Source organism: Homo sapiens, chromosome 6, assembly GCF_000001405.40.
Source record: "Homo sapiens chromosome 6, GRCh38.p14 Primary Assembly".
NCBI lineage: Eukaryota > Metazoa > Chordata > Mammalia > Primates > Hominidae > Homo > Homo sapiens.
The window spans coordinates 68,867,539-68,891,153 of NC_000006.12; the positions used below are offsets into that span (position 1 = coordinate 68,867,539).

The 23,615-nt window shown below is 34.8% G+C and overlaps 1 protein-coding gene across 1 annotated transcript in view, besides 1 other annotated feature; it reads left to right on the top strand.

The window, feature by feature from the left end:
• The window catches only part of ADGRB3 (adhesion G protein-coupled receptor B3), a 754,225-nt gene that overhangs the window by 232,257 nt on the left and 498,353 nt on the right, over window positions 1-23,615 (top strand). The gene's annotated exons all lie outside the window — the stretch shown is intronic.
• Window positions 1,757-1,926: an enhancer, noted in NCBI's record as "experimental_94316 CRE fragment used in MPRA reporter constructs". NCBI's record gives its function as "activates a minimal promoter by MPRAs in K562 erythroleukemia cells, with activity observed for both the introgressed and non-introgressed 6:69579272 variant alleles {active_cell/tissue: K562}" and the evidence as "EXISTENCE:reporter gene assay evidence [ECO:0000049][PMID:34662402]".

The following is a 23,615-nucleotide window of genomic DNA, read 5'->3' on the forward strand; positions in this document are numbered from 1 at the left end:
TGCATAGTGGAGCTATACAAAGAAGCCACCATTCTCCAGACCCCAGAATGGTAGGTCCACAGACAGTTTGTACTGTGCTCCTGGAAAAGCCACAGACACTCAACACAGCCCATGAAAGCAGCCGGGAGGGAGGCTGTAGCCTGCAAAGCCACAGGGGTGGAGCTGCCCAAGGCTTTGGGAGGCCAATCTTTGTATCCGCATGTCCTGTATGTGAGACATGACGTCAAAGGAGATTATTTTGGAGCTTTAAGATTTAATGACTGTCCTGCTGGGTTTCAGACTTGCAAGGGGCCTGTAGACCATTGCTTTTGGCCAATTTCTCCCTTTTGCAATGGCAGCATTTACCCAGCGCCTGTACTCCCACTGTTTCTTGGAAGTAACTAACTTGCTTTTGATTTTACAGGCTCATAGGCCAAAAGGACTTGCCTTGTCTCAGATGAGACTTTGGACTTTTGGGTTAATGCTAGGATGAGTTAAGACTATAAGGGACTGTTGGGAAGGCATGATTGTGTTTTGAAATGTGAGAAGGACATGAGATTTGAGAGGTACTAGGGGTAAAATGATATGATTTGGCTCTGTGTCCCCACCCAAATCTCATGTTTAATTATAATCCCCATATGTCAGGGAAGGGACATGGTAGGAAGTGACTGGATCATGGGGGAGGTTTCCCCTATGCAGTTCTGGTGAGAGTGAGTTAGTTCTATGAGATCTAATGGTTTAAAAGTGTGTGTCATCCCCCACTTGCTCTGTCTCTCCTGGTACCACGTAAGGTGTGTCTTTCTTCCCATTCACCTTCCGCCATGATTGTAAGTTTCTGAGGCCTCCCCAGCCATGTAAAAGTGTGAGTCAATTAAACCTCTTTTCTTTATACATTACCCAATCCCAATCTTCTTTATAGCAATGTGAAAATAAAGTAATGTAACATGTTGTTATCTTTAGGAAGATTTTTGTGCTAGGAACCACAAACCATTTTATATATAACACTATAATTTTTTAACCAAATCCACAAAACTGGTTTAAGCAACTATACAGTAGTTTCACAACATACATTTAAAGCAAACATTTATTTTTCTTTGCTCCCAAAATACCTATTTTGAAGGGAGCATAAAATAATGCTATTTATAGATTTTATTTTGGGAAAAAATCTAGTTTTAGGAATTGTCATAACCTTGATAACTATTATTATCTTTCTCTGAGATGCTTTGAATAAATATTATGATACACATTTGTGCAATATTTCTGTGTAGACATATGCCAGATGTGTGATGACAAGCTGCCTTGTAATACAATAATACAAACTCCTGGAAGTGTTGGAACCAAAAAGTATTTAACATGCTGAATATGATTCTGGAAATAGGACTTCCAGATAATGATGTGTGTGTGTGTGTGTGTGTGTGTGTGTGAGTGTGTGTGTTTAAACTTAATCTTAGCATCCTATCCAGCTTTAAAATTCTGTGCTTTTGTTTTGTTGATGCTCCCTCAAAGCAAAATGAATACTTTCCAGGAGATGCCAATGAAATTAATGAGTTTAACCTCAAAGATTTTATCCTTCTCAGCAGTCAACTGGAAGCTAAAGTACATTAGAGAGAAATTAATTACAAGATGCTTGCATTTCAATTATTCTGCATTTATCACTGCAATTATTCCATGCATCTATCACTTTCTAAATATAGGAAACTAAAACCAAAGACTCCCAAGTTTTTAATCCCTTCAGAAATGTAAATAGCCTCTGGTTGATATAGAAACTTTTTAATGTATTTACAATTTTAACTATGACTAAAGCCATAGTTAAAATTATTTATAGAGATTTTCTAAAATAAGAAATTCAAGGAATATCTTTAGTTGTTTTGAGTAAGCCAAATGTATGGTTCAAATTTAGAGTGATAATTATATCTACAGAAGCTTAAATTTTCTGGACAGAAAAACCTAGGAGAGAAATCATGCAAGAACATCAAAGATGAGTTCAAGCATTTATGATGCAAATAATGCTGACAAATTTTAGCAAGCAACATTTGTAGAGCCAAATTAGTTAATTCAAATCATAAATACAATATAAGAGCAAATGTCTATTCCTAAGATAAAATGAGAAAAAGTCTATGTTTCCAATTTATTTGTAGTTATGGACTCTCACATATGAAAAATTAAAAGTGTTATTTTAAATTCCAGTTTTATGTGAGGCCTGCATACATACATAACTTTGAATAAAAGGCAACATTCTTTTATTTGCAGGGGAGGGGGGCGGGTGGCGGGGAGACAGAGTCTCACTCGCTCACTCGGTCACCCAGGCTGGAGTGCAGTGGCACAATCTTGGCTTGCTGCAATCTCCACCTCCCAGGTTCAAGTGATTCTCTTGCCTCAGCCTCTCCAGTAGCTGGGATTATAGGCACAGGCCACCATGCCTGGCTAATTTTTGTATTTTTAGTAGAGACGGGATTTCACCATGTTGGCTAGACTTGTCTCGAACTCTTGATCTCAAGTAGTCCGCCTGCCTTGGCCTCCCCAAGTGCTGGGATTACAGGTGTGAGCCACTGTGCCCAGCCGAAAGGCAACATTCTTATAATGTGGAAGCCAAACTTATCTTTCCTAATATAGTTAGCCACATGATTTTTACTGAATATCCTATATCAGAAACCAGTAGCATTATTTCGCATGAAGACTGGCTGTTAGATATACTGCTACATGGATATTATAGATGAGTAATAGGGCAATGACTCTGAAAAAATTCTTAGAACTCATCTGGTTGAGAAGTCACCAACTGGTGGCTCAGGAGCCGCATTAAATCACAGTTGTACTTGGACTATTTAGTATTTTAATCATTTGGAAATTTTACATAGAATTCTTTATTATCAGCATGTCTTGAAAAATCAAGAGGAGCTTGGAAATACATTGGTCTTATCTAGCCATTAGTTGTTTTTTCATCAAGTTTCCACAGCTCCTATTATCCTTTTTATCTCAGACCGTTTGCTAAATTTATTTACTACCCTCATAGCATCCAAAGACATTTGAGCTTTTGACCCTTGAGTTAATCCATCTTTCACAGGTGAAAACATTGAGTCATTATTGATCCCCCGAGTTATCCGACAATGAAGTGTAGTGGTTAAAGTGTTGTCTCTGGAGTCAGTCTGCATGGGTTCAAATCCCAGCTTAGCCACTTGCCCACTCTGTGATTCAGAGCAAGTTATTGAACATTTCTGAGATTTAGTTTCCTCATGTTTAATATGAGGAGAGAAATAATACCTGCCTCGTTGGGTTTCATGAGGCTAGACCAGTAAATATCTGTGATGTGTTTAGAAGAATGCCTGGCAAATTTTACACTCAGTCTGATTGCTATGTTATTAAACCACTCTTTAGAAGGTGAGATGCAGAGTAGCCTGCTCAAAGGATAGGTCCTTCTGTGGCTTGACACTAATCTAGCTTCTGCTTATAGAGCCCTATTCATTTAATTCTTCATTTCTTTCTAAGTGTTTGAGTGAAAGTCCCTGCAACTTCGGCTTTTGTAAACTTACCCTTCTCTTGGACAACATGGTCTTGAATATGAGGAATGTACTAAGGCGGATGGAAAAGTCAGTCCCAGCATATAAAAGATCAGAGACAGAAATGATAAAAAAAGAATTGTTTTATTCTTATGAACAACTTTACTTCTTTAAGAACTTGTGCAGATAGAAAAAGCATTTAAGATTTCCATCCTCAGTTGTCTATTACAAGGAGGATGAAGAATTTATTTTTTTCCATTTATATTTGAAAAATGCTTAATTAACATTAACATTTTGAGAAGCTAGAAACAGATGACTGAGGGGAAATAGGGGTAAAGTGTGAAGACTTGCATTAATTCCCTTTCAAAATATTATTTAACTTAGGCAAATTTAATGGTCTCGTTTAGAATTGTGCTGATTGCATGGGGGAATAAAGATTCCCTTTTTCTGATTGTTCATATAATCAATTTTGTACTCATTAAAAAAACTCCTTGTGAATATAAACAAGCATTTATAGCATGTTTTTCTTGTTGATAAGCTTATTTGCCACAAAGTTTAACATGTGTGTTCCCAAATGTCCTTTTTCCATAATTTGTATTTTAAGTTGACTTGACTCCCTGCACCAACTAGGAAGCTCTCTTTCTCTAAAAACATTCTTCCATTTGAAGTTTTTAATAAAGGATTAAGAGAGTTATTCACTTGCATTAGTCTATTTTCTGACAAAAAGGGCTTTAAAGTCATACATAAAAAGAAATATTGAGCATATGTCTTAATCATTAATGACATTAATGAGGGTAATAATTTATTATCCTCTAATCAAATTAAATGTTTTATCTCCCTAAAATCTACCTAAAGGCGAGAAAGAACATTTTTGTGGAATGAATAATATTTCATTGGAGTTAAGTCTATTCTTTCTTTGATTAGGTTTATTTCTTCATAAGGTCATCTTTGATACTTAAACTTTTGCTAAAATTTTGTGTAACAAATATTTTTTCATTGATATGACTGTCTTACGGTTTTTGTGATTAAGTTATAAATTAATTTTCTCTTGCTGTAACTTTCAAATAAATAAAGTGTGTAAACAGACATGTAAGACTTTGAGATTTGGAGAGCAGTTGGAAGGATGGAAAGTGTACCATAATTCCAAATATTGTACAGGCAATGTTTACAGTATTTGCAACAGCTAATTACTCCTGTCAGGTTGTAGAAAATGATAATTTTTTTGAAGACAAGTCTTTGCCAGCCTTAGTTAGCATTTGTTTGCCTGCAGAAATACTGTGTAGTGACTTGGCTACCTGTTGTATTTATTTTACATAATGCAATAGCTAAGTTTTTATTAAGAAGAAAAATAGAAAATATGGGGAAAGTGAAGATAAAAATTGTCAAAAAAGGTATTATTTGATGAGGAAAAAACAACTAAAAGTGATTTTTAAAAAGGAAACGTATAAGAAGAAAAACCAGAAATTGAACAATTTGTTGAAGAGCTGGTAGTAATTTTTAAAATGTTTCATCTTTCTTCAATTCCCTTAAGTAATAGTGTTATTAAATTCTCCAGATGAGAGTTTGCCAGGATTTAATGTTTGTATGCAGTATACACCAAAATGATTGGCCCTTGTGAATGGGTTTATTAGTTCTGTGATTTCTTTTATCTCATTTGAATTCAGTATATAATTACTGAAATAACACATCCACAAAAACTGTAGTACAAGCTTGTTTTACGGTTTATGTGGCTATCTTTGCCTTTAAATGTAACCCTAAATAAGACTTCAAATAAACTGCCTAGTGCTTAGCTGCTCTGAACAGGAAAGACATAGTAGTTCTGGGTTCTGTGTCAGTGGCCCATTTGGAGACACCTGGAAAATATCTAGTTAAAATTTTAATGTATTTTTTTGTTGCTGATCAAGCTCAAACACTCTAGGACCATTTTACAAAATAACAACAAAATGCCAGATAAAGTGGAGAGGAGAGAAATGTATTGAATATTTGGCTGTTTAGATTCATTAATGTAGAGTGGCTACATTCTTCTCCAAGTTCCACAAACCCAAAAACCACACACGTTCCTCTCTGTAACTTAGCAATTGGAACATGTGATGGTTTTAGGAAAACAGCATTGCTGAAACCCAAAACTGAGATAGCCATTTATGAATTAAGAGTTTGCAATTACTAAAATTGTAACAAATCCTTCAAGATGTCTTAAAATAGGTGGTATTAATATGTAATATGATAAACATGCTAGCATTGTATAATTCCAAGCCAGTCTCAGCAAAAGCAATGGATGACACTCATTTCTAAATAGCAGGTGAACATACTCTGGTTTTAGGTTTGGCTACTTCCTGTGAGATTGCAGTTTGGATTACGGCCATATTTCATGTATTTTTCTCCCTGAAAGCTAATGAAAGTCCCCTGGATGTAATGCCATTAATCCCTGGGGAAGAAATAACTGGGGCAAAATTTAATATAACAGATGTGATTTCTATAAGTGCTAGTGATAAGATAGGAGGCAGTGCATTAGCAAAAAGGACTAGATAAGGAAAATTAAAAATGGTGAGTAAAGATTCTGCTTATCCTGAGGGAAATTTCATGATTAACCAATGCCTTCAATTGTTATTTTCAATGATATAAAGTAATAATATGTAACATTCAACCTTAAATTATTGACTATGAATTCCAACAATGAAAAGTGTACGATATCATTACAAGATGATCTAAGTTTCTTCTCCAGTATTGACAATATATTCATTCTTGGGGTGAGGGATTAAGAAGGAAAGTAAAATTATGATAACTTCATTTTACTAGGAGTTTGTATTAAATATTTAAAATGCTTATATTACATATCCCTAAAGGTAATTCTGTATGCCTGGATGAACATTTTATTTTATAAAAAAATTAGCATATATTCTTTCTTCTCTCCAGATTAGTTAACATAACTCAGAAAATCCTAAATATTAAATGAAAGCTCTAAATTTATATTAGTTGTTAAATAGTATAATTATAATGATTGAACACTGAAGATCTCTGGATGCTAATATTCCACACATTACAGTATGTGCCAACTCTAAAATTTGACTTTTAGACTTTTAGGAATTTTTATGATATATATTTTTCACACCGTATGACACTGTTGATAGTATTAGGATTTTCTAAAATGATGGGATAATTTTACCTATGATAAATGCTACCATTTATAAATGTGATTTCGGTATGCATGAAATGCACGATTTTGCATATTACTGCTGTAACTATTATCTTAAAATATGACCTTCTGGGAAATAACATGTTATGACCTTATAATTTATTATTACATTCACAGGTAACTCCTCAAGTATCTAGGCTTGACTGTTATAATTATACATTCTTCATAACTATGAATTTTGAATTATGGGTTAAGAATTATGAATTATAGACTCAAACACACTTTAAAACATTCTTTTATCAAAGGGCATTTAGTGTGGCTGACACTCTGGCCTTTTAGAAGTTAATAATAAATAAAATTGTCATTGTTTCCTGAATTAGCTTTAAGTGAATCCATGTGTTAAGCTTCAAATTTGGTAAAATGCTATTTTACTAAATAGCATTTTTGAAAATCTTATTTATATAGCTTAAAGAAAAACCATATGACTTTAAGAAAACTAAGACCAATGTTAATATTTTAGTAGCTTAAACATATAGTGCTGGATACTGTCAGAATTCCATACATGGAATTCAAGTAAAGCCACTACTAATTAATTTTAAACACTGATGACTGTGTATCAAACTCTTCGCTATTTTCATGGAATTTGCAACTAGATTGTTCAGTTAAGCAGTCTATATATGAATATCTTTATAATTTTAAAATCATGATTCACAGAGTAAAATTTTGGGTATTTGGCTCTTCAAAAACCTGAATTTAAAGAGTGCTCTAGTAGTAGGGCAAATGCTCTGGGTGCAGATAGCTGTGCCTCACTGATATCCCCTCAATGCCTTAATGACAATCCACCACAAGCATCAGTTTGGGTAAAAATGAAGCATTTACTTTCTTTCTTTCTTTCCTCCTTCCTTCCTTCCTTCCTTTCTTTCCTTCTTTCTTTCTTCTTTCATTTCTTTCTCCTTCCTTCCTTCCTTCCTTTCTTTCCTTCTTTCTTTCTTCTTTCATTTCTTTCTCCTTCCTTCCTTCCTTCCTTCCTTCCTTCCTTCCTTCCTTCCTTCCTTCCCCCGGCCCCTCTCCTTCCCCCTTCCTCTCCCCCTCCCTCTGCCCTCCCCTCCCCTCCCCTCCCTTCCCCTCCCCTCCCCTTACCTTTCCTTTCCCGAAACAAAATTATGAATAGAATGTTGGGTCTTAACTTCCTTTCATATAAATACTTGCCTAAATCAGCTGATATATTTGGTAAGGTTAAAAGGGAAGCATGAAAGTGAGCCATTGCAGATAGAAACAGATGTTTTCCCCTAGCTAATTACTAATAATGTGATCTTAAGATCACATCTAGCAACAAATGCACATGCCTAGTTAAAACTATAAGAAATAGTTTAAATTTTAGTACTGGACTTTTCTTATTCCTGATGTATGACTATTATTTACTGAGATTTTATTTTGTTTCATTATGCTGACACAGTATTACTAGGATAACGGCATTATTATTGCCATTTTAAGGATAAGGAAATGAGAACGGTAACCAGGCCTTGTAGATCCCAAAGTATTACAGTATTTTAAATATCAACTATATTTACAATATTTTAATCACATAAAAAAAATAAAAACAAATGACCTTACTTCAAGTAAATAATTTTGGTGTTAAGAAGTGACACCTTTTCCTGAGAATGTATTATTAGAGAGGAATTTTAATTTTTTAAAAAACTTACATAGAATGAGAAGGAGAAAGCCTATTAATGTATACCATATTTCCCCCATATGATTATAAGTGCTGTTGTCATCCATATACTGTATGTTTAAGATTAATTGTTAGTGTTTTCAATTTAATGCTAAAGCATAAACTAGAATGAATCTTAGTGGGAGTTACTTGGAATATAAATATTAATTTTTATTATAAAACATTTATATTCATATATAATTCGGCTACTCTTAATTTTAAATATAAATAATTTAAATACTTATTCAATCAATAAATATGTATTAAGGATACCAATCAGACAGACACAGTCTCAGCTCTTAAGGAACGTCCTGTCTAGTTATTACTATACACATATACAAGATGACTTACAGGTAAAAAGATGTCAGACAGAAATGTGAACTGCTGCCTTGTGAAGGACTCCCTACGGGAGCTGTGTCTTGGTGGGATAGATGGAGCCTTCTTTCTAAGTATTGAAACTGAAGCGTATTAGTCAACAAAGAGATGATCAGGCTGTGATTAATAGACTCATTTAAACTAAACTCATAAGACCAAAGCACAGAAGTGAAAGCAGTATTTTGTTGATTTCTGAAAGGTGACACTAGTCCACGCTTTCATAGAAAGTGCCTGGGACTTGAAATTATTACTAGAAGATTTTGCTAAATATATAGTCGCAGCAAAAAGGATTGCTAGATTGTGTGAATGGATGGATAGTTTACTTTTCTTATAGGAAATCAGCTCTAGTCTATTCCTAGAATGGCTTTTTTGACCAAAATATTTTGTTTTCCATATATTGTTAGTCTTTATGGTCAATGATGAATAAACAGTGCTAAATACTTTCTTTTTATGGATGTACCAAAAGCAACATTTCAATTCATTAAGTAAACAGTTACATTTATGTATTGTCTTTCTCTGGTTACATCCTAGTCAACTTGATTAGAACTGGGTATTTATCTTCTGCAAAATATTTACAAACTGTTATGTATTTTTAGCATATGGCCATGTTTTCTTTTTATTGATGGTTTTAACTAGTTTACAGGTATGGCTCTTACTGATTTTTTTCAAAATTATAAATATTTTGTACACACCCATAATGCATTGAAAAAACTAGGGCTCAAGTGGCTATATGTTAATTTTAAATGTTTAATCAGCAAATAAATACTTCAAACATTTTATTTTGAAACACATCTTATAAATCATCTTTTTAAGTTTTATTACTAGTATTAGTATTATTTTGATCCACATATCTCTTGACTTTTTTCTTTTAAGTCCTTGATAAAATATTCATTAATTACTTAATGGGTAGCCTTTATAGTTCCCTTCAGAAAATATTCAGCAAGATAAATTTATGTGTAAATTAATGGGTAAAATTATATGATTGGATTCTTTATAAATAATCTACGTACTTTTTTTTTGTTTCTAGACATTATTAGTCTATACCCAACTTTAACCTTTAGGTGGCAGCATTTGAGAACAGTTATAGATACTTGCCACCATTTAGAAAAACAAGATGAATAGTGTATATGTTCAAAATAAAGAATTTAGGATTTTTTTTTTATTTAGACTCAGAACAATCGCTTATCAAGCACTGCACTATCTCATAATTTGTAACATTAAGAAGTATTTTCATATTCACATAAGGCTACTTTAGGTTTATAAAAAGTCCATCATTTGCATGGCCATTTGTTCACAGTTATACTTTCATTGAAGGCAGGGGTTCTTCCAAATGGATATTCCTAAAGGACCTTTGTTCTCAGCACATCTCCAATTTTAATGGATCTGGGCTAATTAGACATATCTGAAAATCTTTTCTAAAGTATTGAAAACAAAGACATTATCTTTCTTCTTGCAATTTATTGGTTTAAAAATACTTTACATTTATGTATAGTGAGAGATGAAAGGGCAAGTACAATATAAAACCAATTTATATCAAGGACTTTTTTTAATAGTCCATCTTAGTTGCTAACTAGAATAATCATCACAAAAGATACATTTTGCTGAATAACTGACCGATTAGTCTGATCTATCACTCCTATCTTGTTTTCTTTTTTTAAAAAATGAGGTCAACCAATTTTGCTTCACTAGCCAAGTACCTAATCAAGATCAGGCCATATATGAATAACTTCATTAAGATATATAATCAAGGCTAGAATCTATTATGTTTAATGGAATATGAGTGCTTAACTTTTACAGAGACTCATGTCAGCTTTTCTACAACTATAATTCCTGTTGCTGTATGATTAACTTTTTCATTATATTAAACTTAAAATTACTTTCTTTTATTTTTCTCTATTTGGATTTTAATATAGTTAAATAAATCTTTTAGGATAACTTTTTAAAATACTTCTTTTTCTTTTTATTGAAAAATGTTCCAATATTTTTATCCTGATTTCAGTTCAGAGGATTTTATTTTGTGTTTACTTCATTATTATAAGAAAGACATAAAATTTCAAATAACTTATTTAAAACCATGTTTATATATAGCTGATCCTAAAGACTAATGTGTATTTGTTCATTTTGGCCCTATAAAATATTAAATAGTTTTGCTAAGGAAAGTATTTGCAGTGATTTTTACTGATGGCAAAATTGTAAAAAAAAAAATTAATACCTAGTTATCATTTAAATAATTTATATTTTAGACAGGATCCAAAGTATACAACATGCTTTGTGTTTTAGACATTTGTGTTTGTGCTATTTACATTAAGAAAACTTGATCAGTATCTATAAACATCCTTTCCCTATAGAGAAATGGATAATCTGTTAATTTGTGTTGTAAAAGTCATGTAGTTCCATGAAGACAGTATCCAAAAGTATGGGTACTCTGTGACCATTTCAGTTTTTGTCACATTTTTCTATTTGCCTGAATCCCTCAAAATGGCATGTATGTCCATTTTCACACTACTGATAAAAACATACCTGAGACTGGGCAATTTACAAAAGAAAGAGGTTTAACTGGACTTACAGTTCCATGTGGCTGGGGAAGCCTCACAATCATGATGGAAGGCAAAGAGGAGCAAGTCATGCCTTACATGGATGGCAGCAGGCAAAGAGAGAGCTTGTGCAAGGAAACTCTCATTTTTAAAACCATCATATCTCGTGAGACTTACTCACTATCAGGAGAACAGCACAGGAAAGACCTGTGCCCATGATTCAAGCATCTCCCACCGGCTCTCTTTCACAGTGCATGGGAATTATGGAAGCTACAAGATGAGATTTGGGTGGGGACACAGAGCCAAACCATATCATGGCATAAGCAAGATAAATGATTTATTGACCAATTAACTGAAATTTTTAGAGGCTTGAATGTCTGGAAATAGGTGCTCCAATAATGTCAGAAGTCTGATTCTCCATTTCTCTTTTCTGCTTTACTTTTTGTCGCTTTTTTTTTTTTTTTTTTTTTTTGACAGAGTCTCGCTCTATCCCCCAGGCTGGAGTGCAGTGGCAGGATCTCGGCTCACTGCAAGCTCCGCCTCCCAGGTTCACACCATTCTGCTGCGTCAGCCTCCCCAGTAGCTGGGACTGCAGGTGCCCACCACCACGCCTGGCTAATTTTTTGTATATTTTTTTGTATTTTTAGTAGAGACGGGGTTTCACCGTGTTAGCCAGGATGGTTTCGATCTCCTGACCTCGTGATCCGCCCACCTCGGCCTCCCAAAGTGCTGGGATTACAGGCGTGAGCCACCGCGCCTGGCCTACTTTTTGTTGCTTTTTATTCTCAGTAAATGTTTTCCCCCAACTGGTAGCAAAAAAGGTTTCCACCACTCCTGACCAGCATGCCTGATAGAAAAAAAGCATGTGTGTGTGCATCTTTCTAGTGGTCTTGGGGAAAGTTTCAGGGAGAACTTTCTTTGTTGCAACATGAGTCACACCCCCATACCTGAGCTTATCATTTTAGGAAGTGCACTCTGGTCTGTGATTTTTCAGATCAAATTGCTTAGATCCCAGTTCCAACCAAGGAGGGCAGAGTTACTATAAGCCTCATGCCTTGACAGACATTTTAGCTGATGCCTCATCCAAGTCATTTGGCAGCATCAGTTGATCTTTATGTTCAAAAAGATTCTGAACAAATGAATCAAAGCAGATATGAGGCTTTCACTCTTTCCACTAGCACTTTAACCCAGACCAATTGCATCAAAATGTGTCTATATGGCAGCCAAATAAATTGTGAGACATAAACCAATTTTAATAAAATAGAATTTTGTGTGTCATGACACCTTGATAATAATAGCGAGACATGGTCAGATTGCTTGCGAATTGTTTAAAGTGGAGAGATTACTGAATCAGGAGACAATCCTGACTTCTGACTTCGGATAAGGCAGCCACTGCCTGGGATAAGGGGAGTGTACTGCAGAGAACTGGCTGATGGCTTTTGGTCAGTCAGCTGGGCAAGGGTGAATCAGAATTACAGTCTGCCTCCATCTGCTAGTAATTCCTGCAGTTAAAGCCAGGCATGACAAGTTGCAGTGTTACAGATGGCCTATGGTATCAGTTTCAAATAAATAGCTTCCTTCCTTTCCTATACAACTATATGCTACTGTCACTTTAATAAAGGAAATAACATGCAAGTCAAATTTGTTTCTTAAGTGTAAAAACTCTTAGACTGACAAAACTTCTTTTGCAATAAGTTTAAAAAATTACCTTTTTTGCCATCCCACCCTCCAAAACATCCCTCTCCATTCCATCTAGCAACACTCCTATTCAAGCTTGCTGGATGTGCTGTGAATCCTGAGGGACTCCTGAAGCTAATTCATACTACAGCGTAAATAACTTCTGGGTCAATGCTCCCCAAGGGGTTTGTACTTTATAAGGAAGTCATTTATGGAAGGTGCCAGAGGGAACTTTGCAATTGAACTTTGCAATTCAAATGAAAGGTGGGGCTTTTTTCCACAGAGCATCTCCAGGAAAAAAGCCAACAGAGCTATTGTCCCCCAAAACAAATTAATATATATAGTTCATTCACAAATTCATTCTACAAATATTGGCTGCCTATCATATTCTAGTCATTGTTGATGTTTTTCTTTTTCTCATATAAATGTATTTCTTACTTTAAAAAAGAGGCCAAGGAATATAAAGGAATATAAAGCTAATAAAAAATTCAGCCCTATTTGTATAAATTTTACAAGTCATTAAAAAGTCGGTGAGAAAAATTTTATTTTTTATGTTTTTTTAAGTGGTCATTTGTTGGTTGGAAACTATGATTAGAAACAGTTTTCCCTCTTTGCCAGGTAAGTACTATGCTCTAGGAGGGCTAATAGGATGGTTATATTGCCTAGTGAAGAGATCTGGGGCAAGCAGCTTAACCCAGGTATACCCCCAGGTTTTAAACTACCATTCCTTATAAAGTTTTTTTTTTTCAAATAAATACTATACATTGGATATTTTACATATTTAGCATCAAATCCACAGTTATGTGACTGATAAAATACAAATCTTGCCTCCTTCTCATATTTTCCGTGTGTTGCAGAGTGATCTCTCTCAAATGCCAACCTATTTATTAAGTCTTGTATCTGATTTTCCACCTTCAATATATGCCTTTTTTCCACATTTAGTACAATGCTGGCATGTAGTAGATGCCCAGTTTGTAGATATTGAGTAGCTGAACTATATTCAATTCAGTATATATTCCCTGAATATACATTGGCATGCAAGGCAGTGTACTCACGAGTACACGGATGACTAAGACACATTCTTTCTCTTCTTGTAGTTTTGCATTTAGTAAGTGTGGATATTTGGGGATAAGTCATGACAAAAATCCTAATAAAAGCCAACCATTCAAGCCAAAGAGAGTCAGTCGGGAACAAGTGGCTATGGGAATTTAGTCTCTGACACCAGAAATCATAGCCTCTCAGAAATTACAGTTCACTGTGGAACACTTTAGTGTTTTGGAAGGTAGCTCTGTCTTTCAATGGCTAGCTTTTAATCAGCTTTTTGAAATAAATGAATAAAACACCCTTTGTTTCATTTATGTGTGTGCTTCAGTTTAAAGTAGTAAAAACAATGATCATATTCATCTGTTCCATACAAGAGTCGACAAAATATTGGATACATATTTAAGTATTACCATAATTATAGTTTTTATTTCATTAGGCAACTTACATCGAGATTTTTATGTACACAGGTCTGTGACTATAATAATCCATTCCTAATTGCTTATGTGGAATCTATGAATCCTTCCTTGTACAGTATTTTGTTCTCCTAGGTGTTGATAAACTAGAGCCGTTAGCAAGCTTTTATGTTCTCTTAAAGGTTATTTGACTTTGATTTAGAAATGTTACATTCCCATTCATTTCATGAATATTCTCTAATGCTTTTTCTAAACCTGGGACATAATATGGATCTTACTTCTACAGAAAATTATGGAGATTATCAGTAATTGCTCTATTACAACCACAAGGAAAAATATATTTAGATTGTAGAGTCCCAAGGTATTTCAAAAACATACTTTGAAGTAGTGACTCAATATTGGTAATGTATGTAGTTTGCATACAAATAATAAGTATTATACTTTCATGTATAACATTTAAACCACAGGATACTGAAGTTCTCATTTCCTGTTGGGAATTTTCCATGTGAATATAGGACTGTTCCTCTATCTGAAGAGCTAGAGATTTCCCTTTTATCATATTGAGCATACAATGAAATGATCATGTTTTGATTTTTTTAATTATCATCTCAAAGGTTTTAAAAGAATTATATGCTTCCTTTACATTGCATTATCTGATTCTATCCAGTGATAATGTCCTATATAGTTATCTCTCTAAATTGAAGGTGACTGAATGGGATGATTTTCTTTTTTGTAGTGGCTCCTAGACTCCTCCCTTAAGTCCTGGCATGCAAGTCCTCAATCATAACTGATACCAATTATTTCAGGGTATTCTCTGTGGCAGTACAGATTTCCTCCTCTTCCCTACTTTTATTATAAACAGTTTATACAACACCTAAAAAGCCCTTCTGAAATAATGTGATATGAAAGAGTCCCTTAATGGTTATTTCCCTGGAAGACCAACTAGGTAAGCACATAGTCCCATTTACTACCACTTCTATTACTAGTTTTTTTTTTGTTTTGTTTTGTTTTTTGAGACAGAGTCTTGGTCTGTCGCCCAGGCTGGAGTGCAGTGGTGCGATCTCTGCTTACTGCAAGCTCTGCTTCCTGGGTTCACGCCATTCTCCTGCCTCAGCCTCCGGAGTAGCTGGGACTACAGGTGCCCGCCACAATTACCAGCTAATTTTTTTGTATTTTTAGTAGAGACAGGGTTTCACTGTGTTAGCCAGGATGGTCTAGCTAAAGGATTGTAAATACACCAATCAGCACCCTGTCTATCTCAAGGTTTGTAAAGGCACCAATCAGTGCTCTGTGTCTAATCTGGTGAGGACTTGGAGAACTTTTGTCTAGCTAGAGGATTGTAAATGCACCAATTAGCACCCTGTCAAAACGGACCAATCAGCGCTCTGTAAAATGGACCAATCAGCTCTCTGTAAAATGGACCAACCAGCTCTCTGTAAAATGGGCCAATCAGCAGGATGTGGGTGGGGTCAGATAAGGGAATAAAAGCAGGCTGCAGCACCAGCTGCGGCAATCAGGTTGCGTCTCCTTCCACGTTGTAGGAGCTTTGTTTATTTGCTCTTTGCAATAAATCTTGTTGCTTCTCGCTCATTGGGTCTGTACTGCCTTTATGAGCTGTAACACTCACCACAAAGGTCTGCAGCTTCACTCTTGAGGTCAGCGAGACCACGAACTCACTGGGAGGAGTGAACAACTCTGGACTGGAGGAATGAACAACTCCAGAGGCACTGCCTTAAAAGCTGTAACACTCACCGCAAAGGTCTGCACCTTCACTCCTGAAGCCAGCGAGACCACGAACCCACCAGAAGGAAGAAACTCTGAACATGTTTGAACATGAGAAGGAACAAACGCCGGACACGTCACCTTTATAGAACTGTAACACTCACCGCCAGGGTCTGCGGCTTCATTCTTGAAGTCGGTGAGACAAAGAACCCACCAATTCTGGACACAGAAATACTGAGGCAAGATAGTTACAACTATATGTATCTCATCAATTTAATTAAAATTGGAATTAATAAGGCTTGAACTTAATAATTTAAGGGTACTTCCAAGGTTGCTGTCCTGTCAATGGATATTTGTTTGATGGTGTGAACAAGAAAGCAGAATTAAAAGATATTTTAAAAAATGATTTGACTAGAATTCAGAGTGCTTTGTTTGGCACTAAATGTGACACCTGAGCTCCTTCTCTCTCTTGCGAATGAGATCATGGCTTTGGTTTCCATGATTTCCAAGGTTCATTTATTTTTTAAATCGACTTACTTTTAGATTCAATATAGGCTTTAACATATACTCTTTCACTTCCTTAGTAGGTACTTTATGAGCACTTCGTTCATGTAAGGCACAGTGCCAGGCACGGGGATGTGTCAGGAGAGTGAAGAGCTCCTTTGCTCATGGGCTCAGGGTTTGGGGGAGACAAACATTACATAATTACACAAATAAATAGAAACTGTGATAAGCGCTGCAAAGACATCATGGAGGGTGTCAGGAGATAAAATAATAGATTGACCTAAATTGGATTGAGAGTGAGAACATGTCTCTCAGAGAGTAAGAGCTTTAGGCTGAAACCCGGGGAGTGAGAAAAAATTAGTTGAAAAATAAAGCATAAGTTAGTATTTCAGGCAGAGGAAAAAGTTAACAGAAAACCCCTGAGACATGAAATCACCCAGAGTTTAGGACATGGTCTGAGATGAGGTTGGAGACAGTGGGCAGAAACTACATCATGGGAAGCCTGAGGTCAGAGTAGGGGCTTTTATCCTAGATACAACGAAAATCTGGCAGTGAAAGAGATAGAGAAAAACAGGTAGGTGTGGGGAGGAGTTGTGCGCAATACACAAAACATAAGATGCTGAATGGGTGAGAGGTTTGGCTTTCTTCATTTTTGTGTTTTGTAAAAATTTGGCCTTTTTGGAAAGGTCAGATTCTTGGGAGATAATTTCAGACAACAGTACATGTGGAATTTGAGCATCTTGAAAATGTTTTTTAAAAGGCTTCCTATACCTCCTAGAAGTACTCATACATCAATTTGAAGATCACTGATATAAAACCCAGTACCTAATCTTAGGAAGTTGGTAATATAGGTAGAGAGATAAGTCACAAGCATATGAAAAGTTAATCATAAAATATTTAAATAACAGTTCAATACAATAATAAACTATAATAAGCAAAGTGTATGAAATTGCCATGTTTAATTGCTTAATTAATTGTGCAGAAAATGATTGGTCAGAGGTCCCCAGTGGTCAGGGCATTTTTTGGGGATCTTATAAAACTGGGAGAATTTGAATGGTCTGAAGGAAGGATTTGTGATATTTCAAGACTAACAGTAATATTTATTGAGGGAGAAAATTGAAAGATGTTTTTGAGTGCCTACAATTTGGTGAAATGATTAGAAGATAGTTTGATTACAAAGAGTATGGAATGCGACCTTCTCCAGGTTAATTTTTTTAATTAAAAATTTTAAATAATATTAATTGAACATATTATGTATTTATGGGGTACAATGTGATGTTTTAACATATGTTTACATTTGTGGAATGATTAAGTCAAACTAATTGACGAAAATCTATCACCACACATACTTGTTTCTTTGTGGTGAAAACATTTAAAATCCTTTTAGTAGTTTTGAAATAGACAGTATATATTTATCACATGCTCAGTAAAATGGCGAGGCACAGAAGGACAAATGCTGCATGATCTCACTTGTATGTAGATTCTTAAAGTGTTGAACTCATGGAAGTAGAGTACAATGGTGGCTACCAGAAGCCAGGAGTAGGGGATTGGATACAGAAAGGGGAGATATTGATCAAAGATACAAAATTTCAGTTAGCCTTCAGAAATTGTACTACACTTTGTGGGTCCTGGGTATCCACTGTAGACTTTGGAGTAGGGAAATACTAGGATAAAATTGACATGTTAAACGTATCCAGGGAAAACCTGACAAAGGGATTTGAAAGAGGAAATGGTCAAATTTAGAGGCTTAGAGTCAAAATCCTAGACTAAGGCAATAAATAGCTTATGTAATGGATATGAAAATGGAAAGAAGGAAGGAATATTTTTGAAACGTCCAGTGAAAATAAAACAACACAAAACAAAAAGACAAGATTGGGTAATTATTTGGATATAGACCCTCAAGGAAAAGTGAAGAGTCCTAGAAAACAATTTTGTGCCCTATAAACGTTAGGAATGGTTTTTGTGATTATTTAATCAATTTGCTTGTTACAGTAATAGTAGTGTTAGCAGTGGAAATCTCAGAACCAGGAGCTGAAAGTACCTGTATCTCCACTGTTGTCAAATTCTGGTATTTAGACTTGCTTGTACTTGCAAGCTGGTGTTTACCTTGCTGGACATTATTTAGTCACTCTCATTAACCAATATTTTACCTAAAGTACAGTACTCATTACCAAACCTAAAGTATAGTACTCATTACTTAGTGACCAAACTTCTTTAATGTAATTCTTCATATGTCTCTCTTCTAACAGGAGCAACTTGGGCAATAATGACCCCCATTAATGCTGTAACTTTTCTCTATCCAGAAAGTAAAAGTAGAAAATTAGCAGAAATATGGACTGTCTCACATATACTTCTTCTTTTTATTCACTAACAGCTTTCCAATATCATAGATACACCTAAGCACAGTTCATTCCCAAACAATGAAGTATAATACATAACCTCCAACCAGAATATTGTCTTGTTTACTTTTTAGGCAATGTTTCAAAGTGCTGTTTAAATACATATTTTAGCAAAATGAACCCAGATTCAGAAAACTAAAGAGCAAAAATAATTAGATTAAGAAATCATCCTTAACTGTAACATTCAAATAGAACCATTGTTCATGTTTTACCACATATCCTCTCAGCTTATTTTCTCTGTGTATACATAAAATATCACTTTTGTTATGGAAATGAGATTTTATGTCTAAAAATATAATCGCTTTATATGTACTGTTCTGTGACCTGCTTTTTCAATTCATTATTTCTGTGAATGTCTCCTGAATTAATAATTGTAGAATAACATCATCCCTATAACTTCAATGAAAGTTCTAGTAACCTTCTGGTTTTGTAAGTCTGGGTGGTTTGCAATATTTTATATTATAAATACAATTATCTAATAATATTTGCATACTCACCTAAAAAGATATAGGAATATTTTATAACTCTGTTGTAAATATATATATATACACACACACACACACATACATATATGTGGGTATTAACGCAATTCTTTATCACCTTAGAGTAAGTTTCTAAAAGCGATATTGTTAGTTCAAAGTTGTGCAGCTTTAAGATTTAAAAATATTTTCAAATTGCCTTATATAGTTCCATTTTTTCTCCCCCCAACAGGATATGTAAACACCCATCCCCTCACTCTTTCAACAATAGAAAAAATGGGCTTAACCATTGATACGTATCCTTGCAGTCTATTAGCTAGTACATGATATCTTTTGAGTTTTGGCTTGCATTTGAGGGGGAATTACTTGTAGGTAAACATTATTTTATGTGTATTGGTTTTTTATGTTTTTACTTTTTGAACTGCCTGTTCACATTCTTGGCACATTTTCCACCAGAGAGGTCAAACTAATTTCTTAAGTACTATTTTCCGGTTAGCAGACAACATAACGAGTTTCAACAGCTTATTAAAATAGTGGAGTTTCTTACATCTGCTATTATAATGGAAAAAAATTTCTGTGCCATGATAAAAAATCAAGATGCTAAATATCTAGTGTTGTCTAACTTTAATATTTCCAATTTGACTTAACTCTTTGTTTAATATCTGTTTTACTTAAAATGAGTGATAACATTTATCAACATTGTCTTATGTAATTTATTTTTTTATGAGGATTATATTTTTAAAAACACCTAAAATATATTAAAGGGAAGTGTATACAACAAAATATTTCTTGTGAAAGCCAAAAGTTAAGTGGCTGCCCTATATTGCCACTAAAGGTGAACCTTATTTTCAACTGTATCAGATATGTGGCACAATGTGGAAAATTTCCAAGTTCGTTATGAACAATCATAAAACCCAAAATCCCCACTCACACACTTGATGGCTGACAAGAGCTGAGTTTTCACCCTTCTCATATTGGTGCTCCTTTCCAAGTATTGTGCTTTCTGCCAAAGTAATGCTTTTTCATTTTAGTACAAAATCTTAGTTACTTAAAGAGTATAAAAACCTATTCCTCTCATAGCTAGAGGCTTATGTGAAAAGTAAAGGATGAGGGACAATTTGAGATTGACAATGGGAGATCAGATTGCAGTGGAGCTCATGGAACAATCAAGTTAGAGTCCTCAAGAGAGGGTAGGAAGAAAATGTTTATGCACAGCACTGATAATCACCATTCCCAAATGTCTACAGAAGATCCATGACAACAGTGACTTATTAATGCAGTTCAATAAATGTTTTCTTATATTTATAATAAGAGATACGGTAATAGCATTAAATAATTTGTTTCGTAATGGACGGTTGAATTCATTCTTGTATTTTTCCCATATAATTGTGGAAGAGAGAGAAATCACAAGTGTCTGTGCATTTGATCATATAGACTTGAATTGTCCTATAGGATAAAATTGATATTGTGGTCACATTCATTTATTCAATTTATGTTTATTTATCACCAGCATTTTCAGTTCCTTTTTTGGGTAATAGATACACACACACACACACACACACACACACACACATAAAAAAAACTCCTGCCCTCCAGCTACCTTCTAATGAAAGAGATTGGTAACAAATATATAATTATGGAATATAATGAGAGATAATAAATGCAATGAATAAAAATTATGGCACAATAAGGAGATAGGGAAATGGAGGCTTATTATATAGGGTGGTCATTGAAGAAGACTATGAGGAAATGACATTTAAGTATGGTCCTGGGGGACCTATGCAGCAATCTAGAGTTAAGAGTATTAAAGGCAGAGGGAAAGACAAATGGGGTGGTCCTGAGACAGGAATGTGCTTGGTCCTCAGCATGTTCAAGGGTTATTTAGAAACTTATGTCACTTCTTTACTTTTCTATTTTGATTTTTTTCAAAGTTAACACTCAAATCCATTAATTGACTCAGATGGCTAGAAAGTGGGAAACATAAAAGTTATGTTCACTGATGTATTTGCTTTCAGACATACTTGTGTTTTGTCATGTTAGAAAGTACTTAAAGACAAAGGCTGTAAGAGGTGGATGTCAGAGGAAAGACAGGATCAATCAAGATAGGTAGAATAGTGACACAAAAGTATAAATTGTTTTTGTAGAAATTTTAAGAATAACATTTCAGTGGTGTTACTAATAATTTGTAACAATGACTAAACAAATTCACATTGGTTTACGTCTCCAAATATTGAAATTCAGACTTCATTTAATTCAGCATTTTGTTTGCCATGATTGAAGTTATGACTGAAAAAAACAAGGTAGCATCTTAGAACAATATTGCTTCCAAAAGTTGTGTCCACATTTGGTTCCTGAATTTTGTTGATGGCTGATCAACCTGAGACTATGAGCTTGTACAGTGGCACCTAATGAAATTGGTAATATGTCCACATTTTAGATTATATTTCATTTGTTGCTCCAGTCTGACATTAAAATAAATATTCCTTTTTTTTCTTTTCTCTTTTATTTTTTTTTTTTTGAGACGGCTTCTCGCTCTGTCCCCCGGGCTGGAGTGCAGTGGTGCAATCTCAGCTCACTGCAAGCTCCGCCTCCTGGGTTCACACCATTCTCCTGTGTCAGCCTCCTGAGTACCTGGGACTACAGGTGTCCGCCACCACGCCTGGCTAATTTTTTGTATTTTTAGTAGAGATGGGGTTTCACTGTGTTAGCCAGGATATTCTCGATCTCCTGACCTCGTGATCCACCTGCCTCGGCCTCCCAAAGTGCTGGGATTACAGGCGTGAGCCACCATGCCTGGCCTAAGTAAATATTCTTAAACGAGCAATAGTGACCACAGAGAATGGGTTTGTTGATAACATTTGCAAGATTAACCAAAAATTGTGAAGTACAACTTTCATATTCCTTTGTAACTACATATATATTTTACATATATCATTATATAGGTATATAAAAAGTAGTGAGTACTGTTGTAAAACTCTATACATGGCCAACAATTAATTTTGAATTTCAAAATATTTCAAATGATTTCTCAAAAGTATATGCAAATAACAAAATGTCAATATTTTCTGTACATTGTATGATTACCCGATGAAGGTATTTTCTACTTGAAATACCTTTTAATAAAGTACCAAGAAAACCACAAAGCACTTAATGCATCAAAGATGTTATCTTATCTGTTCTTCACTTTGAAAGCCATACTTCATCTTGAGCTAAAGAATTTGAGAATTGAAATCTTGGCAGAGGTTAACTTACAGGTAAGTACAATCACTTGAGAATTTTACTCATGATGTTCAATTTAAATCCTTCAAATACTGTTGCCCTAACAAAATAGAACATTTTATGCTTCTTTCCACAGGTAAGAGCAATCCATCTGAGGGACTACAACGTGACTGAAGACCTCTGTCCCAAACTTTTTTAAAGGAACTTTGTTATACCACAGTTTAGCAATCTTTAGAAAGATGTTACACTTATTTTGATATCCAGATAAATCAAGAGAGAGTATTTCCTTATAGCTGCAATGAAATCTGTAATGAATTTGTGGTTATTTGTTTATTTTACTTAATTAAACACATATGCCAATTGTTGCAAGGGATATAAATTTGTGTACACTATTCTTGATCTTAGAGGTTAACAGGTACAAGACATTAATAAAATCTGTGATGCAGGGTGGATAGTTGTAAACTCAAAAAACAAATACATAAAAGGAAGAGGCAGAGAGAGAGATTTTTAAAAATGCACTAAGAATTAATGAAAGAAAATGCCTAGTATTGAATCTCAAAGATGACCTCATAGAACATGTAGCATCATAAATGCCATAAATGGATCTTAAAGGAGAGTTATGACAATCATAGAGGGAGGTGGAAAGTTTAGCAGGCGAAAGAAAGATAGTATAAGCTAACTTGAGGATGGAAATGCATGGGGCAGCTTTTTGGAATAGCAAATGAACTAAATGTAGGAATAGTGTATTAGTCCGTTTTCATGCTGTTGATAAGGACTTACCTGAGACTGGGAAGAAAAAGAAGTTTAGTGGACTTACAGTTCCACATGTCTTGGGAGGCCTCATAATTGTGGCAGAGGACAAGGAGGAGCAAGTCATGTCTTACATGGATGGCAGCAGGCAAAGAGAGAATTTGTGCAGGGAAACTCCTGTT